Source organism: Homo sapiens, chromosome 6, assembly GCF_000001405.40.
Source record: "Homo sapiens chromosome 6, GRCh38.p14 Primary Assembly".
In the NCBI taxonomy this organism is placed as follows: Eukaryota; Metazoa; Chordata; class Mammalia; order Primates; family Hominidae; genus Homo; species Homo sapiens.
In genome coordinates this window covers 84162465-84184950 of record NC_000006.12, presented here as the reverse complement: position 1 = coordinate 84184950, position 22486 = coordinate 84162465, and the positions used below count along the sequence as shown (strand labels likewise).

Sequence of the window (22486 nt, the reverse complement as noted above, 5' to 3'; positions counted from 1 at the left end):
AGAATGGAGTTACACTCAGCTGGAATGGGGAAAGCTATGACTGAGTAGATTTGACAGTTGGGGGAAAACTGGGAGTTTAATTTTTGAAATGATAGTTTTGAGATGTCTATTCAACATGCAAGCAGAAGTGACAAGGAGGCAGTCAGATATAAAATTCTGGAGTCCAGGAGGGAAATATAGATTATAGATACCATTTGGGAGTTGTTGAAATCTGATTGAGAGTACCAAAAGAGTGAGCATAGATAGAAGGAAAGGAGCAAGCCAAGGCCTGAGACCCCTGATCATGCTAACCTGAAGAGATCAGGCAGAAGAGGAGGAACCTGCAAAGGAAACAGAGTGAGGTTGGAAGAATCCTGAGAGCATGTGGAATCCTGCAAGTCAACAAAGTATATTAAGAAGGACTGCTCTGTCATTTACTGCTGAGAGATTAAGATAGATGAGGACTGAGAACTGCTCTTTGGGTTTAGCAAGGAGGAGATGATCAATAAAGTGGACAAGCAGTTTCCATGGAGAGGTGGCTGTAAAAGGCAAATTAAATGGCAGTAAGCGAGAATAGGAGGAGTGGAATGGTGCTTCAAATTATAGACCATGCTGCAGATAGCTGCTGTAAAAGGCAGCAAAATAATGGGCCAGTAGCTGAGATGGAAGGTGAGACCAAGAACATTTTTGCTTTGCTTTGTTTTTATGAAATAAATGATTGTTTTGTTTGTATGACATTAAGAAAGATTTGATAGAAAGAAAAATAATTGACAATGTACGAGAGTGAGGGAAGAATTGCTTTAGCAATGTTTTTGAGTAGAGGAGCTGTAACGGGATCTGGTGCACAGTGGAAGAAGGGATCATGTGCACAGTAACATGGCTAGTTCCTGCATTCTAGGAACTGTGGAGGCAGATAGGAAGGGAGAGTATATGCTGGCAGGTGGTTAGATGTGGTGAGGAGAGAATGCTTTTTGTGATAGCTCCAGTTTTCTCTGAGAAATAGAAAGCAGTATCATTAGATGCGCATGAGGATTAGGCAAAGGTGTTTTGGAGGTTACAAGAGAAAAGAGAAGATACGAAGTAGCCATCTAGGAGAGTTAGACTGTCAGGAGCCAAGGCAGTCTAATTAAAGTTAGTGATCATGAATTTAAACTTAAATAACAATTAAGTTGTTGTTTAACAAGTTAAATAACCAACTTGTTTAACCAACTGTTTAACCAAGTGTACTTAGTAAAACAGTTGGGTTTACCAAGAAATACATTTTTGCCAAGTGAAGCTGATGATGTGTGTAAAAGTGATTAAAATGGTTGACCATGGAATTTAAGCTGAGCAATGAAGGAAGAAAGGGCATCAATGGAGTGTGACACAATGTGCAACAGGTACGATCCATTGACTGTGAGTCCTAGTGAGGTCAAAGGATTATTGGAATCTGGGTACCAGAGGGTGTGAGGTGGCAAAACAAAGATGATAGTCATAGTAGGTGATTAGATGAGGGAATGAGACTGGGGAGTGATTGCATTACTTATAATAGTCTAGGAAAGACCTAAACTATGCCAATGGGAATGAGTATCTGAGATGGAAAGGAGTTCAAGGAACCAAAAGCCAGGGAGTTGAAAGGATCACCTGTGAGTATGCTGAAATGACCAAGAATGAAGACAGAGGTAATGTCACAGTGAGTGAAAAAGAAATGAGAGGAATGATGAGGAGGTTGCTAGATGAAGACTAATATTTTTATGAGTAAAGTGAAATAATATTCTTAAACTCATTTTTCATATTTTAAAATTGTATAGCATTTGTGACATCCAAAATAAAAAAAAACACATTATTAAAATTTATAGTAAAGTATAATGATGGACCATAAATGTTTTTAAACTGAACTACTTTTTCTCATTAGACTGAATATTAAGTATGATATTTTTAATCTCTGTTTTTTATTGAAGAATTGCCCAGAGAAGTTTTAGTTTTATTCAGAGGAACTATAATTCCTTTGGGATAGTGGTTACTTGTCAAAGGTTGAGTTCTCCAAGAAGCAGAGTTTGAGATGAGATTAGTGTTCAGAAAATATACAGAATGCAGTTAAAATTAAAATCAACATTGGTTAGGATGAAGAAAAAGCCCAACTACCGGAACTTAACCAAATTAAAGGCATCTTTTCTTTTATGTAACAAAGAGTCCAGAGATAGGCAGTTCATGGCTGGAAAGCTGTGCAAGGAACCAGATCCCTTTGTCTTTCCTGATGCAAAATCCCTAGTATGTGACTTTTGTCTTAACTGTCACAATGGCTACTCTGCCTCCGGACCCTGTCCATGAGGTAGGGTGAAAGGTAAAAGGTAGATGCCAGCCAAACCATCAACCCAGGAAAGTTTTTGCATCCATCTTAATGACCTTTGATCTTGTGGCCGTAAGTTGAATGGAGTTCAGGGGGTTGAGTACGTTTATGTACGTTGCTGCTCAGGACAGAATTAGATATTTATTAATAGGAAGGAAGAGAAGGTTGGCAGTTAGCAGTACCAACCATGTTGTTGTTTTCCTTTTTAGTTTTGATTAATTTTCTTTGGCTCTAACTTGTGTTTTTATTTTTAGACTAAGTATTTTTTTTGCCATGAAAGGACAAAAATACTTATTATTGTCTTCTCTTATTAAGAATTAAAAATTCTTAATATATGCTTATTATTTAAAATTCAAAATTACAGAAAAGTGAAAGAATGCTTGCAATGATTTAGCCAGAAACAACTGTTGTTATGCTGGGTGAGCAGATTCCATGCATCTCACTATGTATATACTTATATAATAGAAGGAAATGTGAATGAATGGACGGAAGTAGAGAGGCAGATGTGGATAAATGGACAAAATATTTTATAAGAATGAGATTACACTTTACAGGTTCTTTTAAAATAGGATATTAGATCTAGGTTTACTTATATCTATAAGAAGAAAAAGAAATTTCTTCCTAAGAAATTGTATATCTGAAAATACAAGGAAAAGATTATGAAAAATCTTTAAGGAAAGAGATTATGAAAAACACTCAAAGATTGCCATAACTGTAGTGTTGTTTCTTAACTTTTTTAATTTTAGACATTACCAATCGATTCCTTCCCTTCCGTGAAATATAAAGCATATTATATCCCCAACTTACATGCCTCCTATTCATTTTTATTTTATTTTTTAAGATACATTTAATATATTCTCTCCTACAACCTTAATTTCTCTCAGCTTTTGGATTTAATTCTTGGTTCTGATTATTAAAGAGACTGAATGCTCTTCACTTGTCTCTTAGCCATAGTTTCTCTATTGTAGAATTATTTTGATTGGTTTCTTTTTGACTGAATTTTCTTATGCATTGCTATTTCAAGAAGGTTTCGTGGGTTCCAAATACTGCAGTGTTTCATGTTTAAATTTCATATTCAAGCAAATTTTTTTCATGTGTAAAAGGATAAAGTACTGCTCATGTGCCATTATTTAAAGTAATTACTTGACAATTTTGACTTTTGTTGCCATTGCTTTTGGTGTTTTAGACATGAAGTCCTTGCCCATGCCTATGTCCTGAATGGTATTGCCTAGGTTTTCTTCTAGGGTTTTTATGGTTTTACGTCTGACGTTTAAGTCTTTAATCCATCTTGAATTAATTTTTGTATAAGGTGTAAGGAAGGGATCCAGTTTCAGCTTTCTACATATGGCTAGCCAGTTTTCCCAGCACCATTTATTAAATAGGGAATCCTTTCCTCATTTCTTGTTTTTGTCAGGTTTGTCAAAGATCAGATGGTTGTAAATGTGTGGTATTATTTCTGAGGTTCTATTCTGTTCCATTGGTCTCTATCTCTGTTTTTTACCAGTACCATGCTGTTTTGGTTACTGTAGCCTTGTAGTATAGTTTGAAGTCAGGTAGCATGATGCCTCCAGGTTGGTTCTTTTTGCTTAGGATTGTCTTGGCTATATGGGCTCTTTTTTGGTTTTTTGGTTCCATATGAACTTTAAAGTAGTTTTTTCCAATTCTGTGAAGAAAGTCATTGGTAGCTTGATGGGGATGGCACTGAATCTATAAATTACCTTGGGCAGTATGGCCATTTTCACGATATTGATTCTTCCTATCCATGAGCATGGAATGTTCTTCCATTTGTTTGTGTCCTCTTTTATTTCGTTGAGCAGTGTTTTGTAGTTCTCCTTGAAGAGGTCCTTCACATCCCCTGTAAGTTGGATTCCTAGGTATTTTATTCTCTTTGAAGCAATTGTGAATGGGAGTTCACTCATGATTTGGCTCTCTGTTTGTCTGTTATTGGTGTATAAGAATGCTTGTGATTTTTGCACATTGATTTTGTATCCTGAGACTTTGCTGAAGTTGCTTATCAGCTTAAGGAGATTTTGGGCTGAGACAATGGGGTATTCTAAATACACAATCATGTCATCTGCAAACAGGAACAATTTGACTTCCTCTTTTCCTAATTGAATACCCTTTATTTCTTTCTCCTGCCTGATTGCCCTGGCCAGAACTTCCAACACTATGTTGAATAGGAGTGGTGAGAGAGGGCATCCCTGTCTTGTGCCAGTTTTCAAAGGGAATGCTTCTAGTTTTTGCCCATTCAGTATGATATTGGCTGTGTGTTTGTCATAAATAGCTCTTATTATTTTGAGATACGTCCCATCAATACCTAATTTATTGAGAGTTTTTAGCATGAAGGGCTGTTGAATTTTGTCAAAGGCCTTTTCTACATCTATTGAGATAATCATGTGGTTTTTGTCTTTGGTTCTGTTTATATGCTGGATTGCGTTTATTGATTTGCGTACGTTGAACCCTCCTTGCATCCCAGGGATGAAGCCCACCTGATCATGGTGGATAAGCTTTTTGATGTGCTGCTGGATTCGGTTTGCCAGTATTTCATTGAGGATTTTTGCATCAATGTTCATCAGGGGCATTGGTCTAAAATTCTCTTTTTTTGTTGTGTCTCTGCCAGGCTTTAGTATCAGGATGATGCTGACCTCATAAAATGAGTTAGGGAAGATTCCCTCTTTTTCTATTGATTGGAATAGTTTCAGAAGGAATGGTACCAGCTCCTTCTTGTACCTCTGGTAGAATTTGGCTGTGAATCCGTCTGGTCCTGTACTTTTTTTTGGTTGGTAGGCTATTAATTATTGCCTCATTTTCAGAGCCTGTTAGTGGTCTATTCAGGGATTCAAGTTCTTCCTGGTTTAGTCTTGGGATGGTGTATGTGTCCAGGAATTTATCCATTTCTTCTAGATTTTCTAGTTTATTTGCAGAAATGTGTTTATAATATTCTCTGATGGTAGTTTGTATTTCTGTGGGATATCTAATTAAAGAGCTTCTGCACAGCAAAAGAAACTACCATTAGAGTGAACAGGCAACCTACACAATGGGAGAAAATTTTTGCAATCTACTCATCTGACAAAGGGCTAATATCCAGAATCTACAAAGAACTCAAATTTACAAGAAAAAAAACAACCCCATCAAAAAGTGGGTGAAGGATATGAAAAGGATATGAACAGACACTTCTCAAAAGAAGACATTTATGCAGCCAACAGACACATGAAAAAATGCTTATCATCACTGGCCATCAGAGAAATGCAAATCAAAACCACAGTGAGATACCATCTCACACCAGTTAGAATGGCGATCATTAAAAAGTCAGGAAACAACAGGTGCTGGAGAGGATGTGGAGAAATAGGAACACTTTTACACTGTTGGTAGGAGTGTAAACTAGTTCAACAATTGTGGAAGACAGTGTGGCGATTCCTCAAGGATCTAGAACTAGAAATACCTTTTGAACCAGCCATCCCATTACTGGGTATATACCCAAAGGATTATAAATCATTCTACTATAAAGACAGATGCACATGTATGTTTATTGCGGCACTATTCACAATAGCAAAAACTTGGAACCAACCCAGATGTCCATCAATGATAGACTGGATTAAGAAAATGTGGCACATATACACCATGGAATACTATGCAGCCATAAAAAAGGATGAGTTCATGTCCTTTGTAGGGACATGGATGCAGCTGGAAACCATCATTCTCAGCAAACTATCGCAAGGACAAAAAACCAAACACTGCATGTTCTCACTCATAGGTGGGAATTGAACAATGAGAACACTTGGACACAGGAAGGGGAACAGCACATACCAGGGCCTGTCGTGGGGTTGGGGGGAGCGGGGAGGTATAGCATTAGGAGATATACCTAATTTAAATGATGAGTTAATGGGTGCAGCACACCAACATGGAACATGTATACATATGTAACAAACCTGCACGTTGTGCACATGTACCCTAGAACTTAAATAAAAAATTTAAAAAAGAAAAGGAGATAAGGTTTGCAAAGTGGCTAGCTTGGCATCTTGCACATACAGGTATTAAGCAAAGGTTACCCCTTACTACATCCCCTAGGGATGTTCCTCAAAATTGTATTAATCAAAGCATACTTTAAAAGTTTGCAAAGATGCTCAATGGTTGAATAAATTTATTGAAAAAATTTAAATTATTACCAAAAAAGTAAACATATGCAAATTTAAATAAAATGGTTAATGAATCCCATTTATCCCTCACCCAGCTTCAAAATTATGAACTCCTATTCAATCTTGTTTCATCTTCATTTCCAGCTACTCTCTTTTTATTTTGAAGCTAACCCAGACATTAGATTATTTCAACTGCAAATATGTCCGTATGCATCTTTAAAGATAAGGACTTAAAAAAAAACACCATACCATTATCTTACCTTAAAAACGTAACAATTTTTTAACATTATTAAATATCCAGTCAAGTTTAAATAGCCAAATATCTCATAAATGTCATAACTTTTTACAGTTTATTTGATTCAGGATCCAAATATATTTAAAAATGTAATAAAAAGTTTGGCAGTAGCCAAAATCTAGACTGCTACAAATTCTAAGTCTCACATACTGACTTTTCCTAGAGTGCAGAAATAATATTATATCATAATAAAATAATGCTCCCTTATTTGGACAGCATTATTAAGTGCCTTTACTTTGTTAATTCAATACAATTATTTTCCTAATCTCAACTTGGCCACTAAATAACGGTGTGTCCTTGGGCTATTCACTCAACTTGTCCAAGTCACAGTTTTCATACTTTTAAAAAGAGTGTTGAACTAATATTGATTATTCAGGCCAGGCACAGTGACTCACACCTGTAATCCCAGCAATCTGGGAGGCTAAGGTGGGCAGGTCACTTGAGGTAAAGAGTTCGAGACCAGCCTGGCCAACATGGTAAAACTCTGTCTCTACTAAAAATACAAAAAATTTGCTGGACATGGTGGCAGACGCTTGTAATCCCAGCTACTTGGGAGGCTGAGGCAGGAGAATTGCTTGAGTCTGGGAGGCGGAGGTTGCAGTGAGCCGAGATCGCACCATGGCAGTCCAGCCTAGGCAACAAAGCAAGATGCTGTCTCAAAATAAATAAATAAAGATTATTCAGCATGCTTTTATTGTGAACCTCTGGGTGGGAGGCAGGACAGCACAGTGTTGAGAGGAAACATCCAGCAGATCTGGCCTGGAGCCCTGCCACATACAGGCCACGTGAGCTGGGATTAGTTCCTTAATCTCTCTTTGTCTCAGTTTCCAAGTCTCTGAAATGCAAATGAAAGAAAACCAAACCCAGAAAGTTTTTCCTGTATGCATATAGTGGTGGGGTACAGGGAAGGGTGGATAAAATGAGAAAATATGAGTACAGTGATTGTCACTTAGGAATCCTTCAATAAATAGTCAATGTAGTTAGCCTATCAACTAGGGAAGGGGATGAGGAGATGAGGCTGGAGGATGGGCGGAGGTGAGAACTGTCTTGTCCACTGTGGCAGCCACTGGCCACACATGGCCATTTAGCATTTGAAATGTAGCTAGTCTGAATTGAGATGTCTTGTAAATAAATTACCTTTTGTACTTCTAAGATGTAGTATGAACAAACAACATAAAATATCCCCATTTTTAATGATTCATTTATGTCAAAATCTTAATATGTTGGATATATTGTGTTAAATAAATATTATTAAAATTTTTAAAAAATACACTCCAGCCTGGGAAACAGAGCGAGACTCTGTCTCAAAAAAAAAAATTAAAATAAATATAATTACTTGATACTTTAGTCCACTGAGAAGTCAAAATTAAGAATTCAAGAAGGGAGAACTCTGGCATAAAAGGACTGGCAGACTACAACTATGAACAAGAACATGTGATAGGTTGAGTATTATGTATCCAAAAAGCCTGGGACCAGAAGTGTTTCAAATTTCAGATTTCATTGGATTTTGGAGTATTTGCATTATATTTACCAGTTTAGCATCTCCAATCCAAAAATCCAAAATCCTAAACGTTCCTGTAAGCATTTTTCTATGAGCGTCATGTTGACCCTCAAAAAATTTCAGATTTTAGAGCAGTTTGGATTTTGGATTTTCTGATCCGGGACGTTCCACCTGTACTAGCTGCCTTGTCCTAAGGAGAATCATGTGCTAGCAGATCACACCCCATTCATTTAATGAGCCTCCAGTGATTTGGAAGTTTTGAAAGCCTGCTCTTACAATGACTTAAAACAGTCTCTTCATGAACACTTTTAGAAATTTCTCCAGAAAACTTACATCGGTCTAATTAAATATGATCATAACTCTATAAGGAAAACCTTCACATACCTGGAAAAATAATTGAAATGAAATCTTTTGGTGAGGGACTGTTGGTAATTTGTTTTTTCTTTTGACTGCTCTATATTTTCCAAATATTTAATAATCATGTATAACATTCATTTGTAATTAAAAAGTAAACTCTACATTTAAAAAGCATCTTGAATAAATTTTTAAAAATTAAAATTTTGAAATTCTTAATTTATCTCTAAAGCAATCAGATATTGTTTATTGAACTCAGGACCTGTAGTATTTGAATATGGACCTTAGGATCCTTTTTAGGTACTGTTCTTAAACATTGTTTATTACTAACTGAATACTATATTAGCCTTAGAATGATTTCTTGTTTAAGAATTTACAGGTTACCTTAAAAGCTGAAAATTGGAACAGAATATATATTAATCACTTTTTTTATAATTTAATATATATTGCCAAGTTTTTATAGCAGAGTTAATCTTTTAAAATCTGATTTAGATTAACAATTATAAAATCCTCCGTGCAATTTATATTATTCCATTGATACTATAATATCATGATATACATTGTTTATAAAAAATGTGCTCTGAAAGCACACTTAGTCCGCACCAAAATGTTTCATAATGTTATCAGCTGCTCCTTGATTTGTCATTTAGAAATTTTGATTGATTATTGCTATGAACATTTAACAGAAGAATTTATTTAAAACTAATAAACTCTGAAAGTTATTTCTATCCACATTCTCACATTTATTTAGCTCCATTTGTCAATTGACATGAGTCTTGGGTTAATTGGCCATCTGTGTCAAATTTAGTAGAATGTTGATTATGGAGTGGCAATCTTTCTGAATGCAATCAGTTATAGTGAAACAGCTGTGTTATAGTGTAGTCCATCAGCCTATTCTGAGATCCTCATTTTTGTGTTTCCATTGTATTTTTAGTTATTGGACACAATTGATGAGTATACATTTAACTTTACATTTGTGGTGCATTTATACATTGTTTATAATATTTAGAAATCTTATCTGGAACAAAACTCATCAAGCCTGCAGCTTTGGATAAACCAGCTCACAAAACTGAAAGTTGCCTGTCTACTCGTAAGAAGTCTGAAAATCCCACAGAAACTGATTCCTGTATTCAGTTTCAGACTGTAGGTATTCAAAATTAATAATCATAATGTTTTATGTTCTAAAATTATATTAAAACTAAATTATATATAACAAAATATAATAAGGACTGAAATGTCTTTTCCTTTGAGTGATACTGTAATCACTCTTACTAAACAGTTAATTTTCTTATATAATAGAACATTATTAACCATGTCCTTTTTATTCTTTTTTTAATTAACCACCTGTGTTCAAATCTTATACATAAGTCTACTGTAATGAAGTAATGCTTTGTCTTGAAAGGATTCCTTAGGATACTGTGGTGAGAACAAGGAGAAGAAATTACTTATGTTTAAAAGAGTTCAGGAAGCAGAGGATAAATGGAGGGGTGCGCAAGCCCTAATTGAGCAAATTAAAGCCACATTCTCAGAAAAGGAGAAAGAACTAGAAAATAAGTTGGAAGAACTAAAGAAACAACAGGAAAAAGAACTCTTCAAATTGAATCAAGATAATTATATTCTTCAAGCCAAGGTACTAGATACATTGTTCTGGTATTTTTTTATATTTATTAAAAAAAAAAAAAGCTGAATTCCCTGCTAAATACATTGTCATCCTTGGTTCCTAGAGATGTTTGACTTGATGTATTTGCTGTATAAAATATAGAATGGTTCCAAGAGTGATTCCGTACATGAGAGCCTAAATTTTGAACCCTTGGGGGAGAAAATTAAATTTAAATTGGCTCATTTTTATGGTTTTCTTCTGTTAGCAGTCCTTTTTAAAGAAAATCAGTTCATTCTGACCTTCAAAGAAATGAAAGTTTGAGCAAGAACTGCTATAGAAGGTATAGACCCAGAGGATGACATTGTGTAGCATTTGTGAGTTCCTTTACTCACCCAGCACCATCAGCACAAAACAGCACTTTGCTGATTTAACTAGTTATGTCACATTCTAATATGTTCAATATTATAAGACAGTTTTCGATCTAAATAGGAGTTTCCTGTTATTCTTTCTCACTTCTCACCTTATCATTTCCTTCCCCAAATAAAACAATTTCTGCAATTTCTCCAAGTTAAGCAGCTTTGAAGAAACAAACAAAAAACAAAGGTGGTTACATTTTGGAGAAGCAGCTGATCCTGTCACTGGAGAAAAGTTGAAGCAAATCCAAAAAGAAATACAAGAACAAGAGACACTTCTTCAAGGATATCAACAGGTATGGCAATTCTTCAACATATGGCAAATTTACTCTTGATCTTTTAGTTATAAAAATAAGGCAGGCCAGGCACAGTGGCTTATGCCTGTAATCCCAGCACTTTGGGAGGATGAGGTGGGCGGATCACCTGAGGTCAGGAGTTCGAGACCAGCCTGGCCAACATGGTGAAACACCATCTCTACTAAAAATAAAAAAAATTGGCTGGGCATGGTGGCGCACACCTGTCATCCCAGCTACTTGGGAGGTTGAGGCAAGAGAATCGCTTGAACCTAGGAGGCAGAGATTGCAGTGAGCTGAGATCACATCACTGCACTCCAGCCTAGGCAACAGAGTGAGACTCTGTCTCAAAAAAAAAAAAAAAGGTATATTAAAATACTTCTCTGCTTATTTAACAGATAATGGTAATCCTGGCAAATAGGAGATAATAATTTGACTAGTCTGTGTATTTCTCATGAGGAGAATTAAATGGTAAAAGCATGGGTTCTGGATTAGAAAAATGTGGTTTTGAGTCTTAGCTCTACCACCTGCTGTGTGCCTTGGGCATCACTTAATCTTTCTAATCCAGTTTCTTCATCTGTGAAGTGGGGATAATAATATATAGGATCCCTAACTTCCACTGGTTTGACTTAACAAAGTTTTAATTTATGATGGGCTTATCAGGATGTAACTTCATCGTAAGTTTTACTTACTATTTTTTGACTTTACATTGGGTTTATCAGGGTATTAAGTGCATTTTCAACTTAGGACATTTTTTACTTACTTTTTGGCCTTATTGGGATATAGCTATTTGCGGGGCAAGCAAGTTGAGGAGCATCTGTACACTCTTAGTGTGACACACAGCAATCGATCAATGAAAGTTACCTGTTATTTTTAATAGCCAGTTTCTTAAAAACTGTCCTATCTTTTCTTAGTTTCCTGTAATGCTCTTCAGTAGACAGTATTGGCTGGTTTTGCTATTATATTCAGAAATATGAATCTGAAATTAATTGCTAATGCCCTGAGGGTGAAAAAATTTTGAATTTAATGCAAGAAAATCTTTGGGTCCTATAGAGGCAGATGTTTGCAATGTGTAATGACATCTTGGTATCTTGGTGTTGCTAGCCTGACAGTCAACCAGGACAGGTTTAGTTATCTTCAAATCAACATAAGACTTTATCTTTGTTCTGTGCCTCCCACACCCTTTTTTCTTACTTCTCTCCTTTCTTGTCTCTCATTACATTCTTCTCTTTTGACAACTGTAACTTGAACCTTGAGCCTTAGTAACATGCATTATCACCCAGGGACATCATCAAAAGCATTGCCCCATCAATGATTACAATGTTTGCTGTAACTGAATTGGAATGATTTTGCAGGACACACTGCCTTCAGTTACTGGGAACCATTCAAATTCTTCTGCCAGTTTGATCTTGCCATTAAAAAACAGAGGTTTTTAAGAAAATTTAACAGACCCATAAGTATGCCGACCAACCCCTCCAACAGAGACAACACAAAATTTATGTGTCTAAATAGTAGGGGGAAATGTTTGTTAATTCTTCATGTATTTAAGCACAGACTGTCGCCAGGCACTATTCCAGACATGGTAAAACAGTCTATAGTTTGCATTAGATACTCAAAGCCCTTGGTTTGCATCTGATTTTTAATTTTAAACAGGTTCATAAGCCAGGGAGGGCATCTAAGTGCAGATTGGCACCATCTCTTCTCCCTCTGATCTCAACTGGTTGAGTCACTCTTTAGCTCTTTAGCTCAAGCCTTGTGGTGAACTGGGTCTGTCCTCTGCTCTGCCTTGTCCTGACAACTTTCAGAAACACCGGTCTTTAACTCCCTGTTTACAGTCAGTAGCAGATACAAGTATGAGCACCCGTAGGTACATCTGATTACCTCACCACTGGCAGCCAGACTTCCAGAATCTTCCTCCAGCAGTGATTTTTTTTTTCCCCTCTCTTGAGCCAGAAACAGAAAAGAATGTAAAGGGTCTCACTGGGTCTTTCCACCCGGGTCCACACAGTCAGGATGTGGTGATTCCTTCAGCCACTCTCCCACTTACCTCCTGTGAAATGCAGTGCATTAAACTGACCTTAGGCCCTTTGGCTTTGGGAATTTTGCAAATTATTTTTTCAATTAGCCATTTTAAATGTTATGGAAAGAACTGTTTTTAGACACCAAATTTTCTTCAGATATAATATAAAAAGTTTAAAAAAGACTTTACATACGCAAAAGCTAAAGAAACTTAAAAGGCCGTTTAAAGGATTAATCTATTATGAGCACATATATTATGTTATATAAGTACTAATGACTTTTAACTAAAATGCAGTTTTCTGTTTTTAAAAAGGAAAATGAACGATTATATAATCAAGTAAAAGATCTCCAAGAACAAAACAAGAAAAATGAGGAGCGAATGTTTAAGGAAAACCAAAGTTTATTCAGTGAGGTAGCTTCCTTAAAGTAAGTCCTTTTGAACTTCTTAAAATCAAATATACTTAGACTATTTCAAGCATTTTCTTATTATGTTAATAATACATTTATTTTTACTTAGACATAGTAAAATTTTATTTTTATTTGTACACATTTCCAATTTTATGTTTAATACTCAGTGGATTTTTCTTTTGGTGTTAGATGGCCAGCACATACTTGATAGTATTTTCAGCATATTCATATTTGAATTCATATGAATTTATGTTCATAACTGATTCAAACATCAGTTTCAGGAAATTGAATATATAGTATTCCTCTTGATCAGTCATTAAGAATGAGATAATTAACCATTTCCCAAGGAACCATTTGATTAATAATACTAAAAAAGAATGGTCATACAGTATCACTTATGATCTTCTTGGGTCAGGTTCCATAGAAGCAGAGCCTGAGATGGTGGAGGTCCTTGTGGAGATGATATACTGAAGGATAACTCCCAGGAGAAGGGAGCAAGGGAAGCAGGAACGGTGAGGTAGGGGGAGGGCAAATAGTGGTCTCAGCTGGAGACTGGCTTCATTCTCCTCCCAAGAAGCTCTGGAGAATAAATTGTACCAGAGTTGGTCCCTGCTTGAGGCAAGGGGGCAGCCTTAGTCACTGGCCGGAGTGTACTGTGGAAAGGAGTAGGGGCTGCCCTTTATGCCGGGTCAGGGGCTGCGGTTTAAAGGAGCACCTGTAAGTTGTTTTCAGCCAGCATTTATCATGGCAGGGTTATGGAGCACCAGCACCTACTTAGGAATCATATTTCAGACTATAAGGTCTTTTGGACGTTACTGCTTCCAACTTTAACATATTAAGTGAAAAAGCTGGGCCCGTGAACATGGACAAGCTAGCATACTATCTTCTTTTAGAAAATGACCACTATTTGTGTATCTTTTTATGTAAACACCTAATCACTCAGAAAGGACTGTTCTCAGAAGTTTCTGACCCATGAGTATCATGAATGTTTACTGAATTTATTTATATACTTCTCCCCCTTTTTGGTTATATAACCTAGGGCCTAAGAGGCAGGGCTGCTAATAATAGCTCATACTGATCTGTCAGGCAAAATAGAAAAAGACACACTTGGTAGCAGACTATATATATATATCCTCTTTCTCCTTGTAAGTTGGTAAGTGTAACCCCAGGCCATGTGTGATAATCTGCACAGTGGTAATGCATGAATGCATTTACTTACGCTTTTTTTTTTTTTTTTTTTTTTTTTTTTTGAGACGGAGTCTCGCTCTGTCACCCAGGCTGGAGTGCAATGGCGTAATCTCGGCTCACTGCAAGCTCTGCCTCCCAGGTTCATGCCATTCTCCTGCCTCAGCCTCCCGAGTATCTGGGACTACAGGCACCCGCCACCATGCCCGGCTAATTTTTTGTATTTTTTAGTAGAGACAGAGTTTCACCATGTTAGCCAGGATGGTCTCTATCTCCTGACCTCGTGATCCACCTGCCTCGGCCTCCCAACGTGCTGGGATTACAGGCGTGAGCCACCGTGCCTGGCCTACTTATGCTTTTTTTCCCAGATGTTTCAGTAAAGTTATTTTAAAATATCTTATCTTGTACTACTTGGCTTCTAAAAGAAGATCTATCCCAGGATCCAAAATTGAAGCTGTAAATTAACTTTCAGAATGAAATAAATGGTTTCTTTAGTACATTAGGGTTAGATGATCTTATGTGGAATCCAAAACTCCTTCTATAATATCTCTGGAATAACAGGAAAATTGAATCTAAAGTCCAGATATTAGGCTGTGTTTGGTTTTGTTTGTTAGTTTCCATGTATGAGACTGGCGACTCTCAGAAAAGATTCTAGAACAATATGACAAGGACTGCATTAACAACCCCACAGAAAAATGCAGCGCATCTTTGTAGACGATTAATTTTTTTCCTCTGAGAATTGGGAATTAATATTTTTATATTATAAATAAACCAATAATCTTAGGTTTCAGTTCTTTTAGAATAGATATAAGCATTTCCCTTAAAGTATATTTCTCTTTTAGTATGGTAGTATTTTAATCTTTAGATTAAATGAAAATTTTACCTTCATTTATGCATACAGTTTCAATGTATGTTAGTTTTTAATTTTTAAGAATTGAATATTTTCTACTGAAAGGAGCACCTGGTAAGAAAGAAAAACAACTTTTTATTTTCAAAATAAATTAGAGAACAGATGCACAAAAGTCGTTTTCTGTCTCAAGTAGTTGAAGATTCAGAGCCCACAAGAAATCAGAATTTTACAGATCTGTTAGCAGAACTACGGATGGCACAGGTAAGTTGCATAACGATTTTGACTATTAGGGATAATAAAGGTTTTATAAAAATCCCCATTTTTATACAAATTTTTATTAAAAAATTACATAGAAATGTATTAAAAAATCTATAAATTTCATACCATTTAAAACTTAGGGAGAAATATCTTAAATTAGCATATAGTATGCACATGACCTTAGTATAGAGGAAACATTATATTACTGTTTTTAGATGTCATTGTCTTTATGATTCAGCCTCTCATCAGGCATTTGTCACATCTCATCAGGTGCATTTATCATAGAGCCATATCAGAGGCATGATTTTATTTAGGACATGTATACCTTATTTCAAACAAATTCCTTATTTGAAAGCGTGCAGCCTAAATAGTGTAATTTGGAGATAATTATTTACCTTTAAAAGTTAGTAGCTTTCTACCTGTCTTCCGAAGTAGACTGCACTTCTAGAGAGCAGAGACTGTATCTTACAAGTATTTATATTCCACATACCTAACATAAAGTTGAAATGCAATGCTGTTCCATAACTTTTTTATGTTTATTAAATTGTATTATAAAGAATATGGCCTAGAGTTTTCTAAAGCAGTATTTATCAATAGAAGGAGTTTGGGAATTTAAGGCAGGGTAGTTCTATTTTAAGCAGAAGTAATTCATGCACTGCATGATTTTTATCATCCCTGTCCCTAAGAACTATGTGCTTATAGCACCCACCAGTCATTTTAACAATTAAAACCACTCTGCCACATTTCCAAACACGGCCTGTGGAGTACAGTTACTTCCTCCCACCCCTCCCTTTGAGAATGATAGTACTAAACTAAAAAGCCCTTCCAATCTATTTCAATTATTATGTAAATTAGAAAAATTCCAGTTATTTTTTAATAGTAATTTACCACACAGAGTTAGGTTACAAAGAAATAGAAACATACCATAGTTAATAAAGGTAACAGGGTTTTGTAGTATATAAAATACAGCTTTACATATGAATCCATTATAGGAAACTTCCTTTGGTTGCATGTGTATGTAGGAAGGCAGATAGGTAGAAAGGTAAATGAATTATTGGACGACCCCTCCTTTTCAGTGGGCCTCAAAAATAGCAAGCTAAAGCAGAAATTAATATTACCATATTTTATGAAGGCTTGGGGGAACAAAGTAAGGTTTCAAGCATAGCATTAGCATTAGTTCCAAAGGCTGTTGTTTTTACCTTTTAAAAGTCCTGTTTTGAACATATTTTAATGGCAGAAAATTTGAAAACTCCCACTAACAACACCAAAAGATACTGGGAAAAAAAATATAATAAATATCTTGTAAATGGATAACCATGCTCTCAAGAAAGTAAGGGAAATCTTTAGAAGCCAAAAGTAAGGATGGATAAAAAGATAGCAGTAAGTTTAGTAACCAAGAGGCCTGAGCTTTAACAGCAAAGTGTAGACGGGATACCCTTCAAAGACCACATCTTTCACTAAAATAGTGGATTAGGAAAAAAGAAGCTGAGATGTCAAGGAAGCTTTTCTGTCTTAACTTGGTCTCTGGGTGGAGAGAGGTAAAAAGTCTCCTCTGCACATACTTTAATGGTTGTTCAATGTAAATGGTACCTCTTCTGCCTCATTTGTGTTTAGTATTTGAATTGACACTACCTTGCAATGCGCAAACTAAAAAAATAACATTAGTTCTGAGTCAGTGATAACCTCTGGTAGATTTAGAAGAAACAAATGCAAAACAATTCTTAGAAGTATACACCCTTGAACCCAAGCAACACAGTATTCCCACAGATAAAATCCAGCTGATGATTTGCTCACAATGCAAAATTACAAAACCTAGAGAAACAGCCCACCATCAGCAGGCATGAGGTGCTTTACAGCAGGATTAGAACCCCAATAGAATTGCTATAAAATAAATAGACTTAAAGTGCTTAAATATACAAAATAAATGAGAAAGTATGCAAAAAGAACAAAACAGGCCAGGCAAATTCAAACAAACATTAAACAGAGCTGTGGGAATGAAATATGCTGGAAATTAAGAAAGTAGAATTAAGTAGATGATCATAAACAACTAAGGAAAGCATTAAACTGAAAGACCAATTTAAGGGAACTCAGAGTGAAACAGAAAAATAGAGAAATGTAAAGTATCACAAATATTAAGAAATATGAGATGCCCTAATTGCACATTTAAATGTTTTAATAGGTAATGGCTGAGGATTCTCTAGAAGTGGTAAAAGGTGAATTCTCAAATTAGGAAGCACAATAAGTCCCACTCAACATAAATGAGTAAAAGTCCACATTTAGTCCCATCATGTTGAAGCTAGCAAAGTCAGGGGAAGCCTAAAAGAAATCAGGGGAAAAAAAATAAAGGTGTTAGTTTAAAATAATCGTAAAAATTATTTGGGAATTTTTTTGTGCACATACTGCAAGATAGAATGTAAACATACCTTTATTTTCATTTACTTTGGTATTCTTAAATAGTTTTAGAGCAAAAATTATTTATACTGGGATAAATCAACAAAATAATCATGTCAAGTATATTTATGATTTATGTATAGTCTACTTTTTACCTTAAAAATTAGTGCCAATTAGTATATTCTTAAAATGTTAGTTGGTTATAAAGTATGGGTGGAAATGTAATAAAAGGTAAGTTCCTGAGCCCTTTCCTTTTAGTATCCCAGGATTGGGAGGAGAATGGGGCTGACTACAACTCATTTAATCAGACAGCCTTTATTGAACACCTGCCATATACCAGGCACTCATCCAAGCATTGGAAATGTAGTAGGTAAATAAGACAGACCCAGATCTTGCTCACCAGGAACATATGTTCTAGTGAAGAAGACCAACACCAGATACACAAGTGAATAATTACAGGTAGAAGTGCTTTGAAGAAAATGAAAATAGAGAATAATGGGTGATGAGTTAGAGGTAAGGCAGCATTTAATAGTGTGGACAGGAAAGCTCTCTCTGAGAAAGAGATGTTTGAGTTGAGAGCTGAAGAGGAGGAACAGCCAGCCATGCAAAGATTCAGGCTTCAAGCCAGAGGGAAGAGCAAATGCAAAAGCCCGGAGTTTGTTACCTTCCAGAAGCTAGAGGCCTTTGAAGCATAAGTGGGTAAAGACAAGAGTAGCAGAGGCCTCTCTGAATGTCTGCACGGTAACTTATGAGAGAGGGAAAGTACTTGTCAGCCAAAAGCCTCTGGCCAACAGGTTTAACATGAGGCATACTCACTTTCTTGAAGGTAGGCATTCTCTGTCCCTGGAAATATGCAAGCCTTCCATTGATTGATGGCATGATTAAACTTAAGATGTTTACAGTTCTTTGAATTCTAAAATACTGTAATTCCATGAAGTAGACACTAATAGATAACTTTTCTAAATTGATTGAACTAATTAAGCAACAGGTTTTTGCAGAAAGAGCATTCGGCAACTTTTAGATCAATTTTAGTTTCAGGACTCTCCTGAAAGGACATCTACAGAAGATTAAACAATGAAATGATGCAGTTAAATCTGCGATGCAGCTAGAAACTAAGATTATATAATGCTTTACAAATGCTTTTATTTTCTTTCTAAGACTGAATTTTAAATTGTAAGACAGTATAAAACAGAGTTTATAAGAACTTGTCATTTTGAAACTTAAATACCAAGTTGACTGCTGTTGAGTCCAGTAGTTTCATAGGTTCAGTTTAGCGTACATTTATCTAATACATGCCATGCACTTAGTACCATAAAGTAAACAAGTAGTACTAAATCAGTGTTGGTCCCCGTAGAGCCTTCAGCCTAATAAAGAGAAGAGGTTACCTATACATGAATCAGTGTCATAGGAAACAATAATAAATGCCATACTAGAGGTATAACTGAAGTTTGTGGGAGACAGAAGAGGGGGTTATCAGGAATAGCTTAGCTTAACTTGAAGTGAGCTTTGAAAGGTAAGTACGGTTTTTGTCAAGCAGAGGAATGGGGCACAACACTTTGACCTCTGAGAGTAGTATAGAATGTAGTCCATATTGAGAATTCCATTTTTATTTTTTGATGTCCCAAGCATTTTTTATGCATTTATGATACAAAGTTTGGCAAAATAAAATCCTGCATTTTATATGTCAGGTGGTGATGAGTGCTGTGAGAAAAAAATGAAACTGTGTGCCTGGGGGCCAGGATGGGGCTTGCTATTTTAGATAAGGTGGTCAGGAAGGCCTTCTGGGGCTTCATGTGAGCAGAAATCCTGATGAAGTGAGGGAGGAAACTGCCTGGCTATCTGGGTCCCAAAGCACTGCAAGCAGAAGAGACAGTGCAGACCCCTTGAGGTAGGAGTGTTCAAAACACAGCAAGGAGGTCTCTGGCTAGAATGGAATAGGTGGGGATTTATAGAAGAGGTGATCAGTCATGGGTAAAGCTGGGTTATATGACACTAAAGGTCATGGTAAGGACTTTGGGTTAACCCTGCAAGGAGCCAGCAGGGAGTTTTCTTTTTTTTTGTTTGTTTTGTTTTGTTTATTTTACTTTAAGTTCTGGGATACATGTACTGAATGGGCAGGTTTGTTACATAGGTATACATGTGCCATGGTGGTTTGCTGCCCCTATCAACCTATCATGTAGGTTTTAAGCCCCACCTGCATTAGGTATTTGTCCTAATTCTCTCCTCCCCTTGCCCCTCACCCCCCGACAGGTACCCTTGTGTGATGTTCCCCTCCCTGTGTCCATGTGTTCTCATTCTTCAGCTCCCACTTATGAGTGAGAACATGCAGTGTTCGGTTTTCTGTTCCTGTGTTAGTTTGCTAAGAGTGATGGTTTCCGGCTTCATCCATGGCCCTGCAAAGGACATGAATTCATTCCTTTTTATGGCTGCATAGTATTCCATGGTGTACATGTGCCACATTTTCTTTATCCAGTCTATCATTGGGCATTTGGGTTGGTTCCAAGTCTTTGCTATTGTACATAGTGCTGCAATAAACATATGTGTGCATGTGTCTTTATAGTAGAATGATTTATAATCCTTTGGGTATATACCCAGTAATGGGATTGCTGAGTCAAATGGTATTTCTAGTTCTAGATCCTTGAGGAATCACCACACTGTCTTCCACAATGGTTGAACTAATTTACGCTCCCACCAACAGTGTAAAAGCATTCCTGTTTCTCCGCATCCTTGCCAGCATCTGTTGTTTCCAGACTTTTTAATGATCATCATTCTAATGGCTTGAGATGGTATCTCATTGTGGTTTTGATTTGCATTTCTCTATGACCAGTGATGATGAGCTTTTTTTCATATGTTTGTTGACCGCATAAATGTCGTCTTTTGAGAAGAGTCTGTCTATATCCTTCACCCACTTTTTGATGGTTTTTTTTTTTTTTTGTAAATTTGTTTAAGTTCCTTGTAGATTCTGGATATTAGTCCTTTGTCAGATGGATAAATTGCAAAAATTTCCTCCCATTCTGTAGGTTGCCTGTTCACTCTGACGATAGTTTCTTTTTGCTAAGCAGAAGCTCTTTAGTTTAATTAGATCCCATTTGTCATGGTGGCGGGCACCACCTTGCCTGGCTAATTTTGTATTTTTAGTAGAGACGTGGTTTCACCTTGTTGGCCATACTGGTCTCGAATTCCTGACCTCAAGTGATCCGCCCACCTTGGCCTCCCAAAGTACTGAGATTACAGGCATGAGCCACCACGCCTGGCCAGCAGAGAGTTTTTGGTGGAGAATGACATTAACTGACTGTACAGCAATTCATGTGGCTGCTGTGAGAATAGACTGTAGGGGCCAGAGGTAGAAGAGGCATACTAGTTAAGAGCTTATTACAGTAATCCAAGCAAGAGAATTCATGGGTCATCAATATGGTTAGTATATGGAAGAAGTTAGAACAATAGATTGAGAGGTCTTTAATGCTGTGTTGAGATAATTAGAACTGATTTTAATAGGCTATTGCATGCCATTAAAAATTCTGGGGTGGGGCAGGTGGTAGTAATAACATCAGAGCTAAAATTTAGAGAAAATATTTTGCCGTAGTGTTCATGATGGATTGTTTGAAAGACTATACCACAATTTATTGTGGTTGTAAAAAACTTGCTTTTATATTTCTTTTGAATATCAAGAAAGAAAAAGACAGTTTATTGGAAGACATCAAAAGACTGAAACAAGACAAACAAGCTCTTGAAGTAGACTTCGAAAAAATGAAGAAAGAGAGGGACCAAGCCAAAGATCAGATTGCTTATGTCACAGGTAAAACACTGAGCTGAAACAGTGTACCTTTATAATCATAACTGTTCTAATGTTGAATTTAAGTAATAGAAATTGAATGGTATAATCAAAATGCTACTCCTTGAAGTATATTGTAATTTTAGAAACATTTTTTAAAATTAGTTATTAAAAGATGTGTGAATTTGATTGGGTTTAACAGGAATAACTGCAAGACAAGAGAAAATCAAGAATTATTTTGGATTCATGGCATTTATGTTTGGTCGTTCATAAATCTGTCATCCTAGCTAGACTGTGACCTTCCTGAGGGCAAGGCCTGTCTTCTTTTCCCTGGGTCTGAAACTTTGTAGGCTGTTGTGTATTTGCCAAGTGAATAAATAGTAGTGCACTGGGTTTTATAAAGAACACATAGATAAATGTGGCATGGTCCCTACTACGAAAACCAAGGGGAGTAAGGTAAGAATACTCATAATGTAAGAAAAAATTACAAACAAACATGAGAGGAATTGGGATACCAAATGAGGGTTTCGTGGCAGAGTGGCATTTGAGCTGGGCCTTGACAGGTAGTAAAATTTGAAAGTGAAGGGATGGAGAGAGGCTGCAGAAGTATGTTCTATAACTTAGAGTGGCAGAACACAGGGATAGAAAGTTAGATCAGAGGAGCCCTTGTTTGCAAAAGATAGGATCTTTCCTCTGCAGTATT

General features: G+C 36.3%; 1 protein-coding gene across 12 annotated transcripts in view; it reads left to right on the top strand.

Moving 5' to 3' along the window:
* Positions 1–22486, top strand: part of CEP162 (centrosomal protein 162) — a 103394-nt gene that overhangs the window by 42693 nt on the left and 38215 nt on the right. For 9 of the 12 annotated variants that reach the window (XR_007059227.1, XM_005248674.5, NM_001286206.2 and 6 more), the window contains 6 exons: positions 9604–9737; positions 9997–10224; positions 10763–10903; positions 13233–13345; positions 15518–15623; positions 21681–21807. Coding sequence is in view for 11 of the 12 variants with exons in the window: in XM_005248674.5 (XP_005248731.1) it covers positions 9604–9737; positions 9997–10224; positions 10763–10903; positions 13233–13345; positions 15518–15623; positions 21681–21807 (849 nt within the window). In the remaining variant the exon portion in view is untranslated. Of the gene's footprint in view, positions 1–9603; positions 9738–9996; positions 10225–10762; positions 10904–13232; positions 13346–15517; positions 15624–21680; positions 21808–22486 lie in introns of those variants that run through there. The other 3 variants (XM_047418389.1, XM_047418390.1, XM_011535594.3) reach the window with 3 other exon arrangements.